This window comes from Homo sapiens, chromosome 15 (genome assembly GCF_000001405.40).
Source record: "Homo sapiens chromosome 15, GRCh38.p14 Primary Assembly".
In the NCBI taxonomy this organism is placed as follows: domain Eukaryota; kingdom Metazoa; phylum Chordata; class Mammalia; order Primates; family Hominidae; genus Homo; species Homo sapiens.
The window spans coordinates 71202097-71222055 of NC_000015.10; the positions used below are offsets into that span (position 1 = coordinate 71202097).

At 45.4% G+C, this 19959-nt stretch overlaps 1 protein-coding gene across 3 annotated transcripts in view, besides 2 other annotated features; it reads left to right on the top strand.

Annotated features, from left to right (window-relative positions):
* The window catches only part of THSD4 (thrombospondin type 1 domain containing 4), a 686490-nt gene that overhangs the window by 105203 nt on the left and 561328 nt on the right, over positions 1 to 19959 (top strand). For all 3 annotated transcript variants that reach the window (NM_001394532.1, NM_024817.3, XM_047433080.1), the window contains exon 4: positions 12939 to 13303. In NM_001394532.1, the coding sequence (NP_001381461.1) occupies positions 12939 to 13303 (365 nt within the window). The remainder of the gene's footprint in view (positions 1 to 12938; positions 13304 to 19959) is intronic.
* Positions 555 to 1399: an enhancer, noted in NCBI's record as "NANOG-H3K27ac hESC enhancer chr15:71494990-71495834 (GRCh37/hg19 assembly coordinates)". NCBI's record gives its function as "activates a minimal SCP1, AML or CMV promoter by ChIP-STARR-seq in primed H9 embryonic stem cells {active_cell/tissue: H9 hESC(primed)}" and the evidence as "EXISTENCE:reporter gene assay evidence [ECO:0000049][PMID:30033119]".
* Positions 1400 to 2242: an enhancer, noted in NCBI's record as "OCT4-NANOG-H3K27ac hESC enhancer chr15:71495835-71496677 (GRCh37/hg19 assembly coordinates)". NCBI's record gives its function as "activates a minimal SCP1, AML or CMV promoter by ChIP-STARR-seq in naive and primed H9 embryonic stem cells {active_cell/tissue: H9 hESC(naive and primed)}" and the evidence as "EXISTENCE:reporter gene assay evidence [ECO:0000049][PMID:30033119]".

Here is a 19959-nt window from a genome sequence, read left to right on the forward strand (position 1 = left end):
GATTTTCTCTTTCAGGCGAGACCACACCTAAGCCATCCCTGAAAGACTGATCCGTTCAATCTGGAACTGCTCTGGGAAGGGGACTTTGCACATCCCCTTCCTTGGAAACATCATCTATTTGTAGTGATCTGTGTCTTTGCCTTGTCACCCAAATCTCTTTAGCTGAGGCCTGTTTACCTTTCTCTCTGTAGAACTGCTCTTTGTGGCCTTGAAAGTCGTTGTTTAGGGTGGTCATCTCTTGGCTACTTTCCTGTCTGCTAATTCATTTCAACTCTAGCACTTTTGGGTAGTGGCCAGGACAGTGCAGTGCTTCTCAAACATCTCCACCAAAATGCCCCACCAGCAAAAGAGTGTGAATATATGCACCCACACACACACGTACACAGATGGCCTGCAGAAGCCCAAAGTGGCCTACTGAATGCTGGGAATTTTCTTGAAGGCTACTGTTTTATTTAAACATTCCTCAGAATGTGACATCTGTTCCCAAAAGATAACTGGTTGTTCTAATTTTTAAAACAATGTTTTAAATTACTTATCATAAGAAAAAAAATTCAGCCGTTTTCCCCCATTTTGTAAAAAGCCCTTGAGGAATCTGATAACCTGGGAAGATGCCACATGCTTTGTTGGGGGACTCTCTGGCGCTTCTTGACATGCTGCTAGCAACCCCAGCTAGAGAAGCCTGGTGGTTGCGGGGAGGGGGTGGGCATCTCTTGGCTTCTGGAGCAGGCCGATCTGAGTTTGAATTCTGGCAGCACTGCTTCCCAGCAGCGTAACCTTCAGCAGATTGCATCAGCCAGGTGACAGACTCTCTGTTAGAGAGAGCGGGCAGAACACAAAAATAAATAAGACATGATTCCTGCCCTGGGGAGCTCACATTGCTGGTGGGGACGTAGCTGTGTACAAAGATAATGACAGTGCCAGGTGGTAAGTGCTATGGAGAAGGGTGTGTAATGGCCCTGGAGAATGGGAGAGAGCCTGCTTGATCTCAATGAGAAAGGTATGTTCATAGGCAGAGTAGAAGAGAGAGCATTGGAGCTGAGAGAACAGCCAGGTGAAGGTGGGCAGGGAGAGAAAGTGTTCTTGCGTGGTGTGAGCATAGGGGGACAGAGATGGAGTTGAAGCTGGAAAGGAAGGCTGAGGCCAGATGGTGACAGGTTTGGGATGCCATGGCAAAGAGTAATTTTGGATTTTATCTTTTGGAGAGTGAGGACCCAGGAGACATTGGTAAGCAAGAGAGTAACACAGTAGGGCTAGGTTTTAAGAAAATAGCTTTGGCGGCCAGGCGTGATGGCTCATGCCTGTAATCTCAGCACTTTGGGAGGCCAAGGTGGGCAGATCACTTGAGGTCAGGAGTTCAAGACCAGCCTGGCCAACATGATGAAACCTCGTCTCTACCAAAAATACAAAAAAAAATTAGCTGGGCATGATGGTGTGTGCCTGTAATCCCAGCTACTCAGGAGGCTGAGGCAGGAGAATTGCTTGAACCTTGAACTCAGGAGTCAGAGGTTGCAGTGAGCCGAGATTGTGCTACAGTGCTCCAGCCTGGGCGACAGAGCAAGACTCCATCTTAAAATACCTTTGGTGTTACAGGGAAGCCTGAGTGGGTGAGGGAAAGGCTAAGGCAGGGAATCCAGGTAAGGTCAAATCTCAATCCATTTGCAGCCTCTTTCACTCAGCAGGTGTTTGTTGAACACTTGCTGCGTGCTGTGTTCTCTGCTGGATGCTGATGCTTTCCATGAAAATGCTTTCGGCTTGCCTTTGTTAAGCGGCATGCTGAACTCAGGGGCTTTCTGGGGAGTGCTGAATATTGACCCAGATGCAGACAGCCAAGTGACCAGGCAGACTCTTCTGCTAGAAGATTGCTGTTCCCCGAATCAGCCTCTGGGTCCAGAAGCCAGCACTCTTTATTTCATGCATTACTCATTATTTTGACTGTCCTGGTTGGCTTGGGTTGCAAATAGCCACTTGCCGTGGAGAGCATGAGGCTATCACAAAAACCACACCAGGCACTGCACAGAGACATCTGCTTCTGTTTCCTGAGTAACTGCACAGCAACACAGGGCCAAGTGGGTACCAAGGCACATGCCCTGTGTTATTTTCTAGTTATAACGAAGTACAGTTTCCATGTGGCTGGTGATGAAAGAGTCAGGTCAATTTCAGAAAGAAGAGTGTTTCCGATTATGCAGATCACATCCAAATATTTACCTCATTGCATCGTAGTTTTGGCTGGGCCCTGCTTTTAAAGATCATGGAAATCCATCCGGGCCTCCTTTGCACTGCGTTTAGGGAAGTTCTGTGCTCAGAGCCTCTTTGCTGGCAGTGGGGAGCCCTGGGTACAACCTGGGATTGCCTCTCCCTGTTGTGGTACTTGAAGCGAATCAATAAGTGGCAAGAAATGTAAGTGTGCTTCCAGGAAAAATCAGAGGCTGTTAGCACTGGAAGGGACCTCAGCCCTCATTAAGTCCAACCAGCTCAGTTTACTGATATGGAAACTGAGGTCCCGAGCCACAGACCAGCTGGCCTCAAATCACAAAGAGAGGGACGGCAGACTTGGGACCAGCCTGCAGGGTCCAGTCCAGAGCTTCCCACGAGTCCACCCTTTCCTCTTCTTTCATCTTTCTACATTTCCTGTTTGCTGTTATACCTCTTTTATTAAAAGTATACGGTATTTCCAGTGGAATCTGCTTAGCTTACGTACCATGTGAGGGGCAGTTCTCAGTCCATGAATGTTTCCTTGTCTCGTATGAGAAATTCTGAGTTGGCCTCAACTTGAATGGCAGAAGTAGAAGGGGTGGTTCAAAATGCAGGAAATTTGAGGGTAATAAAATCATGTGGCTAGAGCATTTGGGGGCTAAGGAAGTAGCAGCCTATGAGCTCAGTTTAGCCCTTTTCTTTTTGAGTAGCCCATAGGGGTGTCCAGTGGTCAGTGATTCTCAAACCAGAGGATGCATTCAAATCACTGGGGAGCTTATTTAAAATGCATATTCCTGGGCCTTTCCCCAGAGGTTCTTATTCACTAGGTTTGGTGTAGGAACCAGGAATCTGCATTTCTCAAGTTATACGTCAGGTAGATTGTGTTGCACATTACCCCGTGGCTCTCACCTTGAGAAGCGTAGCACAGCAGCAGGAGAGATAGGGCAGGGGCATGTCCACGTGTTCAGGGTATACACTCAATAACATATACTTGGAGAAGTATGGTGCAGTTTGTGTGTCTGAGATCATTTACTGTGAGAATTCTCCAACTGGGAGGACACAGGTATTGAGAGAAAGCCTTCGGGTAGAGCTGGAAAGTGCAGAACACCAGACTCAGAACTACTTAGCTGCTGGGTGGCTGCATGTCAGTGGTGCTTTCCTCTGCATGGTTCATATTTTCTCTAAAGCGTGGCTGTCTCATTCCTCATTTATCTTGGTTTCCCTGGGCCTCTACCCACTCCTCCTTTATTTTGGTTTTGTGCAAATACATCATTTAACTGTTCCTGAAATGCATTTGTAGAACTCATTTACATAATAATTTCTATTGGGGCAATTCTGATCCAATAATCAAGGCTGAATGTATTGTGCTCCCGTCTTCCATACTGTGAGGTTCTTACACTGATACTGCAGCTGCTGGCATTAACACGAATGCTGAAAGGTAAAATTTGGGGCCTTTTGCAATGTGTCATGTCAGAGTCTAGATAGTTGATCAAGATGTAACATTAAATCATCTGTCTCAGATGATTTATCACCATAGTGATAATACTGAATTTAGATCTGGCTGGAGTCTGGAGATTCTCTTTTTTTTTTTTTTTTTGAGATGGAATTTTGTTTGCTGTTGTCGCCCAGGCTGGAGGACAATGGCACAATCTCAGCTCACTGCAACCTCCTCCTCCTTGCTTGAAATGTAAGGTTTCACTGGTTTCTAATTCTCTTTCTACAAAATAAACCTCCCATCTGTTCTTCATAGAAAACGAGTCACATGCAAAGTCTGAAATTCTAAAGTCTTGTTTCAAGTCGAAAGTCTCCTTCTTCAGGTTCAAGTGATTCTCCTGCCTCAGCCTCCCGAGTAGCTGGGATTACAAGTGTGCACCACCACGCCTGGCTAATTTTTGTATTTTTAGCAGAGACGGGGTTTCACCACGTTGGCCAGGCTAGTCTTGAACTCCCAACCTCAGGTGATCCGCCCACCTCGGCCTCCCAAAGTGCTGGGATTACAGGCATGAGCCACCGCGCCCGGCCACGTTTGGAGATTCTCTATGAAGTGGTCCCACCTCCCCGAGCTCCTGCACAGGCCCCAGGTTGTCCTAGCTGAGCAGCCAGCTATATGTTCCTGCTTTCATTTGCTCTCAGGTTCCCAAAACTTTGTTCTCAGGGCTCAAACTCCAAGGTGTATTTTTGAAACGTTTGCTTTAGAGTGTTGACTTGGTTATGTGGCTAAAACTAAACCTACTTTTTCCAGTCTCTCTTAGAATGAGACTTTAGAATTTCAGACTTTGCATGTGACTCGTTTTCTATGAAGAACAGATGGGAGGTTTATTTTGTAGAAAGAGAATTAGAAACCAGTGAAACCTTACATGATTTCACATTAGTACAGAAACCAAATCCATTGAAAACATTGAGAGCTGTTCTGGTTATGAATTTACTGGTGGCGATGAGAAATTTCCAGGGTTTTCTGTGACAAGACTATCACCAACTCTTAGTTCACTCTGTGCCTCCCACTCTCCACAATCTGCTCCAAATCTTTCTCCATTTAATCTATTTATTTTTATTTATTGAGCAAGCAATATTGTAACCATGACTGAAATTTTTTAAATTACGAGAAAACTTATCCTGGGTCCAGCTTCAGTAACAGATCGTATGTTTTCATTTTTCCATGTCACCTTCCAGGCTCTGTTCCTATGCTACAGAATCTTTACATTATTATAATCATGGTGTCGTTATAAGTTTATATTTGACATTTTTCAATTAATATTGTATTACAAGACTATTTCCATATTGCTCTGTATTATTCATGATTATGATGTTTCATGGACTCATTTGACCCTCATTTATTTGACCATCCTTATATTTTGGTCATTTATGTTCATTTCCCTTAAAAAGGCTATGATGAAATAAACCCCATCCACAATTGCTCTGATAATTACCTCTCCTGTTCTTCTCAAAGCTCGCCTGCTGTCTCTCCTGTGAGCCTCTGATTCACTTGGCCCCATCATGTTTCATGGAGACCATGGTTCTGTAGTTACTCTGGCTGTGGTCAATTACTGCCGCTAAATGACTCTTTCTGCCCTGGGCTCGCTTAATCATGAGGCTTCTGCCAAGTCCAGACCACCTCCCTCTTCCAGCCTTTGCTCGTTCCAGGAGCTGCTTTCTGTCCTCCAAGTCCTGTGCCAAAGGCAGACCCAGTTCATTTCACATTATCTTGATTACCACATTTTATGCATATATTGTAATATTTGCAATCATTTAGATCAGGGATCTTCAAACCCTGGGCTGTGGACCAGTACTGGGCCGCAGCCTGTTAGGAACCCAGCCGCACAGCAGGAGGTGAGCGGCGGGTCAGCGGGCATTACCATCTGAGCTCCACCTCCTGTCAGATGGGCAGCGGCATTAGATTCTCATAGGAGCGTGAACCCTATTGTGAACTGTGCATGTGAGGGATCTAGGTTGTACGCTCCTTATGAGAATCTAATGTCTGATGATTTGAGATGGAACAGTTTCATCCTGAAACCATCTCTACCCCCGCCACCACCACATCTGTGGAAAAATTGTCTTTCATGGAACTGGTTCCTGGTGCCAAAAAGGTTGGGGACCACTGATTTAGATATCATTTAGGGTTCTTTACTGCAAGCAACAGAAACTAACATAAGCGATAAGGAATTTACAATAACGAGTCTAGGAAGCAGGTGGGAAGTGAGGCACATCAGAGAGCAATTGCACATGATTGGTCTCAGCATAAACAGCAAGTTCAAAGGAGCTGCTGCTGGAGCCAAGGACTCAAAGCCATTTGGTCTGCTGGTCAATTTGCTGGAAATTCAAATTCCAGGGAGGAAGTGTCCATTGATCCACATTGCCTACCTTGGCTTTAGCTGGCAGGGCCCCTGAATACATTTCCACCACACTTAATCCAATGTGGAGAGGTGACTACAGACCTAAGGAAAGGGGAATGCTGCCCCATATATACACCTTCCTATGGATATATATTTATGCAAATGTCCCTGCCTAACATTAACCAACACTTCCATAGAGCCGATCTCAAAATGTGGTCAGTTAGGGCATCCAGCTCCAAATCCAAAGTCTTTGGCAGGGGTTTCAGTTTCCCTCTAACACTGTCACAGTCTCTTGCACAGCCCAAGTTGAGTTAAATGGGAAGGGGACTACACTGCTTCTCTAACTTCTCTAGGTGCTGTTTCTTTTTCTTTTTTTCTCTTTTCTTTTCTTTTTTATTTTTTTTTATTTTGAGATGGAGTCTTTCTCTGTCGCCCAGGCTGGAGTGCAGTGGTGAAATCTTGGCTCACAGCAGTCTCTGCCCCCTGGGCTCAAGTGATAATCCTGCCTCACCCTCCTGAGTAGCTGGGATTACAGGCACCCACTACCATGCCCAGCTAATTTTTGTATTTTTAGTAGAGACGGGGTTTCACCATGTTGGCCAGGCTGGTCACGAACGCCTGACCTCAAATTATCCACCCACCTCAGCCTCCCAAAGTACTGGGAGTACAGATATGAGCCACCGTGCCAGGCTCTGGATGTCGTTTCTGTTTCCTGCTCCCTGGCTCATGGCCCATCATGACTATTTAGAGAGGCACCATAATATCAAGCAGTAGTTTTTAAATGAGGAGGGGGATATCAGGTTTGGAGGATTTCATCCAAAATACATGGCCCCCTTAACCCTAGCCTCACCCCATGCAGGGCAGGTCATAATCTCTTGGGGGAAGGGTCACGGCATGGCATGTGTGCTTTGAACAAGCTCCTCTTCTAATTCTGTTATGTTACCCTGACACCCACCTCACCCCCATCCTTTAAAACCTCCAGTGAAGCGGAGAGAGCACTGATTTGATTCTTGGGTTGGACCTGTGTCTTACACATTATAAAGCTTCTGAATGGTAGTGTACATTCTCCCAGTGAAGGGACAAAGTGGAGATTTCCTCTGTCCCTGCTGGGGGACATGTTAGATGCCTTACCTAGCCATTTCATTTCATCTACCAAGTAATACTAGCAGATTCGCATTCTTTTATCTCACATATATTTTTAAAGCCCACATCATCCACTAGACCACACGGACACTCTGAACCTCAGTGACTACATCTGCAAAATGGAAATATACATCCTTGAAATGAATCTTGTGAGTATCAGAGAGTTTGTGTTAAAGTAGTTAGGGCAGATAAGGGGTATTTTTGCTCTTCCACTGGGCTTCTTCTGTCTGTAATCCTCCAGCATATCTCTTCCCTTCCCTCAGTGGCAGACCTTACCTCTTTCATAGAAGGCTGAAGCCATCCAATGTTAACTTCATCTTCCACTCCTTTCCTTACACCAACATGTCGTTTTCCATAATGGAAGATCTCTTTTGTTTGTTTTGTTTTTCTGATCATTTAAATAACTTTACCCTAGATTTTCTTAGGACCCAGCAGTCTATGGGTGATATGGTTGTGTCCCCACCCAAACCTCATCTTGAACTGTATGTAGGTCCCACAATTCCCATGTGTTGTGGGAGGGACCTGGTGGGAGGCAACTGAATCATGGGGGCGGGTCTTTCCTGTGCTATTCTTATGATAGTGAGTAAATTTCACGAGAGCTGATGATTTTATAAAGGGGAGTTTCCCTGTACAATTTTCTTCTCTTGTCTTCTCTTCTCTTGTTCTTCTCTCTTGAGATGTGCCTTTCACCTTCCACCATGATTGTGGAACTGTGAATCCAGTAAAACTGTTTCTTTTGTAAACTGCCCAGTCTTGGGTATGTCTTTATTATCAGCATGAAAACGGATTAATACATTGGGTATAAAGTCATTTAAACGCTATCACTCCAATTTTTGTGACCTTCTGTTCACATGTACACAGTGCAGAATCTTAGCTACCCCTAAGGTCACTCTAATCGTTGCTGGAAATCACAGGAGGTATCCTGGGTGCTCATGAACTGTTACGAATTTTTTGAACTCTAGAAATAAACTCTAAGCCTCAGTTTTTCATCTGTAAAGGGAGGTGATGATAGTTTCTTTAGGTGGGTGTTTTGAGGATTAATTAGATAATATATATAAAGTAATTAGCCTTCGGTTGGCCTGTATTCTGTTACTAAATAAATAGTTGTTATTGGTGTCACTGTTAAACACCTGCTAATAGGCCTTGCCAGCTGCTGCAAGGTGTGGATGTGATCCCCAGGGCAACTGGCTAGTATAGGAAGTTGGTGAGGGGTGGGTGATGAGGACACACTGCATTCTGCCTTATTTTTCTTGCTGCTTTGTTTGGTGGGAAAAGATTTTCTAGTTGGGCTCTGTTAGTTGCCAAGGTCAGAAAACTACTCATATTAGATTGAATCATATGAAAGTATTAATCATATGAAATTGTATTTTTATAGATCAAAGATGGTCAAATATCAGTGATTTTTTAATGTTTCAACTGAACACTTAAAGAGTGATATCAACAAATAGGTTTATTCTCTTACACTGTCCTATAGTTTTGTTTTTTCACTAATTAATATAGTGAAAAAATATATGGAGAGCTGTTCCTTTTAACAGATATGAATCTACCTCATCCTACCAGATAAATTACATTCCATTGTTTGGATAGATTTCATTCTAACTGGGCTCCTATTCATGAACATTTAGGTTGCTTCCTTTTTTTACTGTTGTTCTTACAAAATATGATGCAATATGTGTCTTTATGTATATATATATAACTTTATATAGTATTTTTGAGTATATCTGTAAGATGAACTACTAAAAGTAGAGCTGCTGGTGAAAGAGTATGTGCATTGGAAATTGTGATAGGTATTGCAAAGTTCTCTCCCAAGAAGTTGCCCAAATTTAGATTCTAATCAGCAGTGAACATTCTTGCCATATCAGTATTGTCAAACTTTATAATATTCGGCAGTCTAATGGGTTTTAAATAGAATTTTGGTGCTTTATTTTGCATTATTTTCATTATATGTGATGTTAAACAATTTTCATATGTTATTTATTTTCCTGTTGTATATTAGCTTGAGCAGCTATAATAAACCATAGACTGGGTGCTTAAGCAACAGGAATTTATTTCTCATAGTTCTGGAGGCTGGGAAGTCCAAGATCAAGGTGTTGAGCGATTTAGTTTCCTGGTGAGGGTTCTCTTCCTGGCTTGCAGAGAGCTGCCTTCTCCCTGTGTTCTCATATGGTGGGGTGGGGAGTGGGGCTAAGAGAGAGAGGGAGAAAACTGGTTTCTCTTCCTTACTCTGGTCTCTCTTCTGCTTATAAGGACATAAATCCTATCATGGGGGCCTCACCCTCATGACCTCATCTAAACCTAGTTACCTCCCAAAGGCCCCACCTCCAAATACAATCATACTGAGGATTTGGGCTTCAATATATGAATGGTGGGGAGGGACAGGTTCAGTCCACAACACCTGTGAACCACCTGTTCATACCCTTAGATCCTGTCTCCACTGGGTTGTCTGTTTCTTATTGATTTGTTAGAATTATTTATAAATGAAGAAAACCAGCAGTTTAGGGTGCATTTTAGAACAGGTTTTCTGCTTTGGTCTTCACATGTCAGTATGTATTGGGGACGGAGCAGCACGCTGGCAGGTTATAAAGCTTCGAGGTTCAATTATTTTTGTCTCTTACCATGATTTATTATTTGGTTTTGCTGCCTGTCACTAACAGAGGTCCTGTTAGTTCGTCCTAATTTTAGGAATATTATGTCTCAAAACACTTGAAAGTTGTCCCATCTTGCATCTTGCCTTACAGAAAACTCCTTGACTATCAGAACAGAAGAAGGGGAGAGGGTTGTCAGGAGGATCAGGAAGGAGTGGAGGGAGGCTGGGTGGTCAATGCAACTAGCAGGCTAACATCTCAAGCCCTCATCCCCTCATTTTTTCTTTGATTGGCTTTTTCTTCCTTTCTCTTTCTGTTTCTACTCCTTCGTTCCTTTCTGTTTTTCTGTGTTTTTGTTTGTTTGTTTGTTTCTGGCTACATACTATAAAAATGCAATTCTGGAGCATGTGGTTAGTTTCTCACCATGGGGACTCAGATGGAATTTCAAGTCACTCACCATAATTCGACTATAAATTAGAGAATTATTATGAATAGAATAGGACGGAATGTGGCTTCATGTTTTCTTCCCCCAGGGACCTGCCCAATTTGGCAATAGGAACTAAATTAAGGGTGAGATTAGTTCTAGGAAGTGGATTTTGAGTATAGCTGTATGTCTAATCCAAGTATTATAGGCAGTGTCTTAGTTATCTGTGTTAATGAGAGATCAGGAGGCGGTGGATAACTGAAATCTCCAAATGTGCCAGAAACATATTTCTGCCTTTGTTCGTTTATCCCAATGATCCTTCCACCAGGACAATTGTCGAAGTGGTTTTATTTCTTCTCATTTTAACCTTCTGTTTTCTAGCAACAATGTAGGCAGGGAGGCCACATGCTGCAGGGAGAAAAATGAATTTAGACCAGAAGTCGGGAGACAATTTTAGTCCTGTCTGTGCCCTGCACTAGCCTGAGACGGAGGACAAGACATAAAGTCTCCTAGGTTCTCAGTTTCTTCCCTCTAAAAGGAGCCATATAACATCAACCTCTCTGGGTGGCTGGGGGAGCTGAGGGGCCCTGGAAAGTGTTAACTGGCGCTAGTGCTGCCTGTGTCACAGAGCCGGGCCATTTACACATGTGCCATCTGGGCAGCATGGGACACAGAGGAGGAGTGTGGCCCGTGCCTGCCCATTTTCCTTCCTTGTTCTCCAAGTATGAGCACACTCCATTATTTTCCTAGGGCTGCCATAATGAATTACCACAAACTGGATTGCTTAAAACAACAGACATTTACTCTCTTGAAATTCTGAAGATCAGCAGTTCAAAATCTGTGTCACTAGGGCCACGCTCCTTCCAAAGTTACTAAGGGGAGAATCCTTCCTTGCCTCTTCCAGCTTCTGGTGGCTCCAGGAATTCCTTGGCTTGTGGCTACACCACCCCAATCTCTGCTTCAGGGGTCACATTGCCTTTGTCTCTGTGTCCGTGTCTTCTCTTCCATGTCTTATAAGGGCACTTGTCATTGGATTTAGGGTCCACCTGGCTTACCTAGGATGATCTCTTCTTGAGATGAGCTATGTAATCTGGCACCGAGCAGGTGCCTGAACAATTACAGTTATGACTGTGACTCCCGTTTCCTCTTCTGAGGTCTTTTCAATTCTCCCCGCCTTCACCCTGCCCAGCCAGGACAGCCAGTCCCTTCCAAAAGCCTCCCACAATCTTGTACTGGCTGCATAGAGCTCATCTGCTGCTGGGTCTAAGCACTTGTGTGGACCTGTGATGTGTTTTCCCTTGTCTTCTGGGCCTGGCTCAGCACTGGCATACAGCTGGTGCTCAGAGCATGTCTTCATAATGAATAAACTACAGTGTGCTTGCTCTTGGCATGGAGCCTGGCACAGTAGGTCTCTGAAATGACCAGTTAAATGAGGGTATAGATCACTCTTTGGATAGAGCTTTTGAACCTTCTGACATTTTTCACCTCTTCCAAGTCACCATGGCAGCAGGGACATTATTATCATTACTAACAAATATTTGTTTAGTGCCAAGCTCTCTGCTATGCACATGGATGGCCTAACCTAAATCCCCTTACAGCTTACAAGGTAGGTACTGGTACTATCCATCTTTAAAGCACAGTGAGCCTCAGAGAAATTCAGAAACTTCCCAGTCACACTGCTATTGAGAGGTGAAGCCAGGGGGACTTCCTAGGTCGAGTGGGGACTTGGAGAACTTTTCTGTCTAGCTAGAAGATTGTAAACGCCCCAATCAGGGCTCTGTGTCTAGCTAAAGGATTGTAAATGCACCAATCAGCACTCTGTAAAAACACACCAATCAGCACTCTGTGTATAGCTAGAGGATTGTATATGCACCAATCAGCACTCTGTAAAATGGACCGATCAGCACTCTGTAAAATGGACCAATCAGCAGGATGTGGGCGGGGACAAATAAGGGACTAAAAGCTGGCGACCCGCCCCACTCCCTCCAGTCCCTCCAGTCCCTCCCAGCCAGCAGCCGCAACTTGCTGAGGTATCTTTGTATGCTGTGGAAGCTTTGTTCTTTTGCTCGTCATAGTAATTCTTGCTGTTGCTCACTGTTTGAGTCAGTGCTACCTTTGTGAGCTGTAACACTCAACAGCGAAGGTCTGCGGCTTCATTCTTGAAGTCAGCAAGACAACGAACCCACTGGAAGGAAGAAACTCCGTGACACCACCTTTAAGAGCTATAACGCTCACTGTGAAGGTCCGCAGCTTCATTCTTGAAGTCAGTGGGACCACGAACCCACCGGAAGGAACAAACTCCGGACACACTAGGAAGTGGTGGCAGGGGTGTAATCATAGGCAGTCTGGCTCTAAAGCGGTGGCCTCTCAACCACAGTGTCCATCCAGTTCCTTGCCTTTCCGGCAGGGTGACACAAGGCATGTCTTCCTTGCAGTTTATGGGAAGTCCAGTCCCTCTGGCGGGAATCCGGAAGACCGAGTTGGAGGTTAAAGGGGACTCCTGAAACCGCGTGAGCCCTCCAAGGCCATGACACCCAAAGCCAGGGCCGCATTATGACTTTCGCGGGGCCTAGGCATTTTTGCCTTCGCGGGGCCCTCTTTCCTCCAAAAACCGACTCTAAGCCAGGCTGGATTGTATTAATACTTATCTTTGAAACAGACTGTGCCTACTTGTGCCTGATGGATAAGTCGACCCTGCTCAAAGCTTTTCGGGTGAAGAGAGGAGCGGTGTTCTGGTCCCCTAACCTGCCTCTGTCTCCGCAGGTCCCGCAGCGGATGGCGGCGGAGGGCGCCCCCGAGGACGACGGCGGCGGCGGCGCCCCGGGAGTGTGGGGCGCCTGGGGCCCCTGGTCGGCCTGCTCGCGTAGCTGCAGCGGCGGCGTGATGGAGCAGACGCGGCCCTGCCTGCCCCGCTCCTACCGCCTGCGCGGCGGCCAGCGGCCTGGCGCCCCTGCGCGCGCCTTCGCGGACCACGTGGTGTCGGCGGTGCGCACGTCGGTGCCACTGCACCGGAGCCGCGACGAGACGCCAGCGCTGGCCGGTACGGACGCCAGCCGCCAGGGCCCCACGGTGCTGCGAGGCAGCCGGCACCCACAGCCCCAGGGCCTCGAAGTCACTGGGGACAGAAGGTACACGCCCGCCCTTGTCTGTGCCGCTCCCCGTCCCTGTCCCAGTATCTGCCCCTGTCCCTGCCCCTGCCTCGCACGCTGCTCTGCACCACAGACAGTGCGACTAATGCATTGCTCTGCCAGGTGGCAAGGAGCTCTGGGCTCCACGAAGCTCCTTTCACCTTTTGATTTATTTTGCAGCCTTGTAAAGTGTTGAGGCCACTCCCACCTCACTCTGTGGTTCTGAATAATCTTCAAAGCCAGGCTAATTCTGAGAATGCCCTTAGGAAGAATTTTAGGGAGGCCTCCTAGAGGGGTGAAAGCAGGAGGGGAGTGCTGTCCGGGTGCCGGGAAGGAGAGATCCTCAGCCTGTGTGGATTAAAGCTGAGGACACAAGACGAGAAGAAGTGTGTCTAACCGGAAAGCTGATATGAGTTGCCAATCCTAGGATAAGTTGAATGTTTGGAGCCTTAGAATGCTCCCAAGCTGTAGGCTTCCAGATTCTGTGAACTTTTCTAGTAAGTTTCTCCGAAGTTTTTTGAGTCAACACATTGGTTTGAGGATATGTCTAAGGACCTAAACTGTTTCAGAGTCATAAAATGTAAACTCTAGAAATGGCATAGTGTCATCAGAATAGTGGTATAGCTCTAAGAAGCATAAATATGCCAAAGTAGGCATTGCGGTGCTGAGAAGAGCTTGTCAGTGAGTGAAGCAATAGATACTAACAGATCACTGCATTCATCCGGCAGTATTTGTTGGGTGTCTTAGTGCCTAGGTTCCTGATAGATCCTGGGAGAATACTAATGCAAAAACAGTAACAAAAAACAAATATGGACAAGAACAAAAAGTGTAAGATGTGCTCTCTTTGCTTAAGAAATGCGTAATTCATTTGTCAAGCCCTGTTAATGCCCAGCAGGCAGGGCCTGAGCTTATCAGGTGGGCTGCCTTGCCCCCTTGCCCACTCACAGTTCAGCATCAGTCTCCATGGCCACCCTTTGCCACGGTGGCCACTTGCTGCATGAGAGTCTGTCTTAGCTCAGTGATGGAAGCTGTCACTGCCAGCCGCCTGAAGGTGGAAAGGAGATGCGACACATCCAGCCTCCCCAGCCACATGCTCTTTACCTGGTGCAGTAGGGGTTTGGAGAGAGAGAGGACCATTTCGGGAAGAAGGGTTCTTCAGCTGAATTCTGAAGGATGAGTCAAGTTTGAGTAGACAGAAGAGAGGAGTGAAGAACAGTGAGTTCCAAGACTGAGCATGGAGGGGGAAGGAGAGAGGCAGCCCCAAAGGAATGCTTCCTTCTCTCTCTCTTTCTACATGGGAACCTGAGCACCCTCTAGGACGGTCTGCTCCTAAAGCCGAAGGCTAGATGTACGTTGTCTCTTTTGATCCCAGCCACAATGCCGTAATAGCATAGCTCCATAGTCCCTTATTTTTTTGAGACAGAGTCTCACGCTGTCACCCAGGTTGGAGTGCAGTGGCACCATCTGGGCTCACTGCAGCCTCCAACTCCGGGTTCAAGCTATTCTCATGCCTCAGCCTCCCGAGCAGCTGGGATTACAGGCATGCACCACCATACCCAGCTAATTTTTGTATCTTTAGTAGAGGTGGGGTTTCGCCATGTTGGCCAGGCTGGTCTTGAACTCCTGACCTCAAGTGATCTGCCCACCTCGGTCTCCCAAAGTGCTGGGATTATAGGCATGAGCCACTGCGCCTGGCCCATAGTCCCTTATCTGAAATGCATATGGCCAATATGTTTTGGAATTCAGAACTGCCCAGATTTTAGAAAGGTAATTCAGACATATTTCACATGTTAATAGCATTTCTTCCGTCGTATGGGACAGCATCCCATAATCAAACACATTATTATTTCTGCAATGAAACATATGGATGTTCTCACCAAGCAGGATACAACAAAAAGATCATAAGTAGCCTGATATCGGTTAAGATCAGGTTTGAGGCCAGGTGCGTTGGCTCACTCCTGTAATCCTAGTACTTTGGGAGGCCAAGGCAGGCAGATCACGAGGTCAGGAGATCGAGACCATCCTGGCTAAACGTGGTGAAACCCCATCTGTACTAAAAATACACACACAAAAATTAGCCAGACGTGGTGGCGGGTGCCTGTATTCCCAGCTACTCGGGAGGCTGAGGCAGGAGAATGGCGTGAACCCGGGAGGCAGAGCTTGCAGTGAGCCGAGATCGCACCACTGTACTCCAGCCTGGGCAACAGAGAGAGACTCCGTCTCAAAAAAAAAAAAAAGATCAGGTTTGTTGGCCAATGAGTTTTGTCACCAAACTGACAAAAGCCTGAAAAGGAAAGACAAATCTTGATTTTCAAAACTCTTAATTTTAGAATTGCAAATTTATAATAGCTAAGGTTTATTAAATATCCATCCTGTACCAGGCACTGTTCTTTTTTTTTTTTTTTGAGATGTAGTCTGGCTCTGTTGCCCAGGCTAGAGTGCAGTGGTACCATCTCAGTTCACTGCAACCTCCACCTCCTGGGTTCAAATGATTCCTGTGCCTCAGCCTCCCTAGTAGCTGGGACTGCAGGCATGTACCACCACGCCTAGCTAATTTTTGTATTTTTAGTGGAGATGAGGTTTCACCTTGTTGGCCAGGCTGGCCTCGAACTCCTGCCCGCTTCGGCCTCCCAAAGTGTTGGGATTACAGGCATGAGTCACCGTGCGTGGCCTCCCCAGGCACTGTTCTTATCACTTTACACTCATGGTCCTATAAGAGAGTTGCTAATAGCATCTTCATTTTAGAGGTAAGGAAATAGAGTCAGGCTTGAAACCCAGGCCATCGTGGCTCTAAGGACGTGACCTGATGAAGTAGATGTTACACCTGAGGAATCAGAGGACCTAGAGCCAGTGGACAAGCTGAGTTTTGAAGGCGGTGCTGCTCACCCCCAGATCCCTGCAGTACTCATCCTCCTGCGGGTGCCAACTGAAGGGATGGAGGGCTGGATTTGGGTGAGGTCTGAGTGGGAAAGAGGCTTCTTGAAAGCCTCTGTGGTGGAGAACCTAGAAGAGCTGCCTGAGGATCAGGCTCTTGTTGGCCACAGGCCTGTGCTGCAGGCATTGTGCCTGTGTGTTTTGGCAGCAGGAAATTTTTTTCTTCAAATGTATTGACGGGGGCCAGTTAAACTGTTTACTATGAAGTTCCTGCAAGTTTTTATCATGCTCTTGTGATTTGACAGTTACTGATGAAATAATCCAAATATTAGCCTAGGAGGCCTGTGCTGCCTACATATGTCATGCTCCTCCCGGCTGATGAAAATCACATTTGCTTATATTCATCAGTCATTAGGTACTTGCATAGTATATTTGACCCCAAGGAGAAATGTCAGCATATTTTCAGGATGGCTGTCCGCTCCACTCTCTGTTTCAGGTTTGAAGTTTGAGGAAAAGGCTGTTGGAGTTTAGATGTTTAAAAAATTGTTAGGTTGCTCTGCTAGGCAACAGGAAACTTCATTGGAGTCAGATAACAAATGAAGCTATTCAACCTTCCACCAGATATTTATTAAACATCTACTATGTTGTAAGGCCCTGGGACATACACAAAGGTGAATAAAAGCCAGGTTTTGGGACCTCATGGCTCTTACTGACAGGCTAGAGCAGTTGTTTGCAAAATTACCATTTTTTTTTTAAGCAGAAGAATCCGTTCTGCAAAATCAATCTTAGATGGAGGCTCAGTTTATGTAATAACACACGTAAAATCTGAGTTGCTCTGGTTGAAGCCTCAGAGGTATTGCTATAGAAACCTGGGGTCAAGATCCAATGGAACAGTGGTTTTCAACCTTGACTGACTGTTAGAATTTTTTTTCCCATCTTTTAGAAACCCTGACACCCACGTCACACTCCAAACCAGCATCGGAATCTCTAGGGGCCACCCTCAGATGTTGGTCTGATTCCAATCCAGCCAAGTTTGGGAAGCACTGGTCTGGATGAAGCTCTTTGGAGACTCAAGTTTCCATGGAAAAGATTTTGGGAATCAAATATTGTCTAGCAGAATTTTCCAAGTTTGGTGAGCACGTATCAGAATCACTTGCCGTGGAGTGGGTGGCTTGTTAAAAAGAGAGTTGCCAAGTCCCCACCATCTCCCATGCCTAATGGGGATTCTGATTTGTAGGTCAGTTATATGTTCTACGTTTCTTCATTTTAAATGCTTCTGATATACCCTAGAGTTTGAGAACCACTCCTCTAGAGGGTTGGAAAAGATGCACATGTAAATGCCTTCAATATAAGGCAGTCTGATGAGATAGTAGTGACAATGGCTCCCATGTTGAAGCACGTCTCCTGTGCAGGCATTCTTTCAAATGCATGACAACATTTACAGTTACACAACCCTGTGAGGCAGAAACTATTATTCACATTTTATAAACAATGAAACCGAGGCTGGGAGGAATGAAGTGACTTGCTCAAGATTACCACTTGAGAAGCAACAGCACTAGAATTCAAAAGAGGTCTGCCAGAGTCTGACACTAAAGTTCTTTTCACTGAAATGGGTATTCTGAAAATGAAGCTGCTGACTTCCAGCTGGTGTGTTCAGAAAAGCTGTGTGGAGGTTGGGCTGTCTGAGCTGTGTCTTGACAAATGGATGGGATTTAATAGTGAAGGCTTAAAATGAGCTGCATCTCTTCCTTTCAATGTTCAGCTCCTTTAACCAGGGTAATCTTCTTTGCATCTAATCCTAGGCATCACGTGAGTTCAAAAAAAAAATTAGAAGTCACAGTCTCTATTCTTGGGGGCCTTACACTTTGGTGGTGGAGAAGGGCAAACCCAAAAAACACTGCCCACTCTGGGAGATGGTAGAGATACGACCAGGGTTCAGGAAGAAGGAATCCTTGTGGAATGGAACAGTCAGGGAAGACTGCACAGAGCAGGTAGGATTTGATGAATAAATAGAATTTACTTAGCTGGAATATATCTGGAAACTTCTTGAGTCCACTTGCTTCCATATCAGGCCTTTGTCTCATTAAAACAAGCACATACGTAGTATAAATCCTACTCTAAAAGCCTCAAAAATAACGTCAATCTTCATTGGAGCTCTCCCAAGGATTCCGAGCTTAGGACAATTAAACTTCTCTGAGCCTCAGGGGCTTCATCTTTCAAATGAGAGTAATAATAATACCTATCATGTGGGGTTGTTGAATAATTCAATGAAATAATACATTCATATTGCCTGGCCCATAGTGGACACTCATTAAATACATTCATATTGCCTGGCCCATAGTGGATGCTCAAAGTGAACGCTGTAACTCCCATTATGGGTCTAAAGGCTGGTATTAGATAGTGTGTTAGAGAGAGTACCAGTTAGAACTCAAGTGCAGCAGAAGGGATCAGGTGAACTAGGGCCACTCAGGAAGACAGGGAGCCAGGAACTGAGCTCCCGTCCAGATGGGTGGGACTCTGGGAAGCATAGACTGGGTGCAGCCAAGACCCTAGTGTCTGTGCTCCCTGCTCTCTGCCCCTTCTTAGTGTGGCTTGCTCAGAAAAATCCTCCACAAAGGGTGGCATTCTCCTGTGATTTAGTGAGGGCAATGGCAGCCTGGGGAGGTTCCAGGCTAGGGGGTTCATCCTTCAGGTCTTGGCCAACAGATTCCATAATGGCACTCAACCAAGTCATCTTTCACTCCAGGCCCAAGGCTGTGTCCCCGTGATGGCTAAAGGGGAAGGGGCGAGTAGGGAAGAAAGGTGTTTAGGTGAGTCCTGCAAAGCATGCCGCATTGTAGCAACTCACACTTGTGAAACTGAAGAGACTCCTTGGTAGGGGAGACTTCCCCCTCAGTTTCTGGAAATGGGTACCTGTAGACTAGAGGGTGCTGGAAGGAGCCCCTGTTACTATAGGACTCCCCTTCAACTTTTCTTCCTCCAATTATTTTATTGTGTTAAAATACACATAACATAAAATTGACCATCTTAACTATTTTTAAGCATATGGTTCAGTGACACTGAGTATATTCATACTGTTACGCTACCATCACCACCATCCATTCACAGAACTCTTTTTATCTTTCAAAACTGAAACTGTACCCATGAAACAATAACTTCACATTCCTTCCTTCCCCCACCGCAGCCCTTAGCCAACCACCATTCTACTTTCTTCCTCTATGATTTTGACTACTCTTAAGTATCTCATGTAAATTGAATGATACAGTATTTGTCGTTTTTGTGACTGGCTTATTTCACTCAACATAATGTCCTCAAGGTTTATTCCATATTGTAGCATATTCCTTTTTAGGGCTGAATAGTATTCCATTGCATGTATAGACCACATTTTGCTTATCCTTTCATCCATCAGTGGACATTTAGGTTGCTTCCACATTTTAGGAATTGTGAATAACACTGCTATGAACATGGGTGTTTTCAGTTCTTTTGGGTGGAAATTGGGAAGTGGAATTTCTGGATCATAGGGTAATCATATTTTTAGATTTTTGAAGAACTGCCATACTGTTTTCTATAGCAGCTGTACTATTTTACCTTCCCACAACAGTGCACGAGGATTCCGTCCTCACCAACACTTGTTATTTTCTGTTTTTTTTTGATAGTGCCCATCCTAATGGGTGTGGGGTGGTATCTCATTGTAGTTTGGTTTGCATTTCCCTAATGATCAGTGATGTTGAACATTTTTTTATGTGCTTAATGGCTGTTTATGTATCTTCTTTGGAAAAATG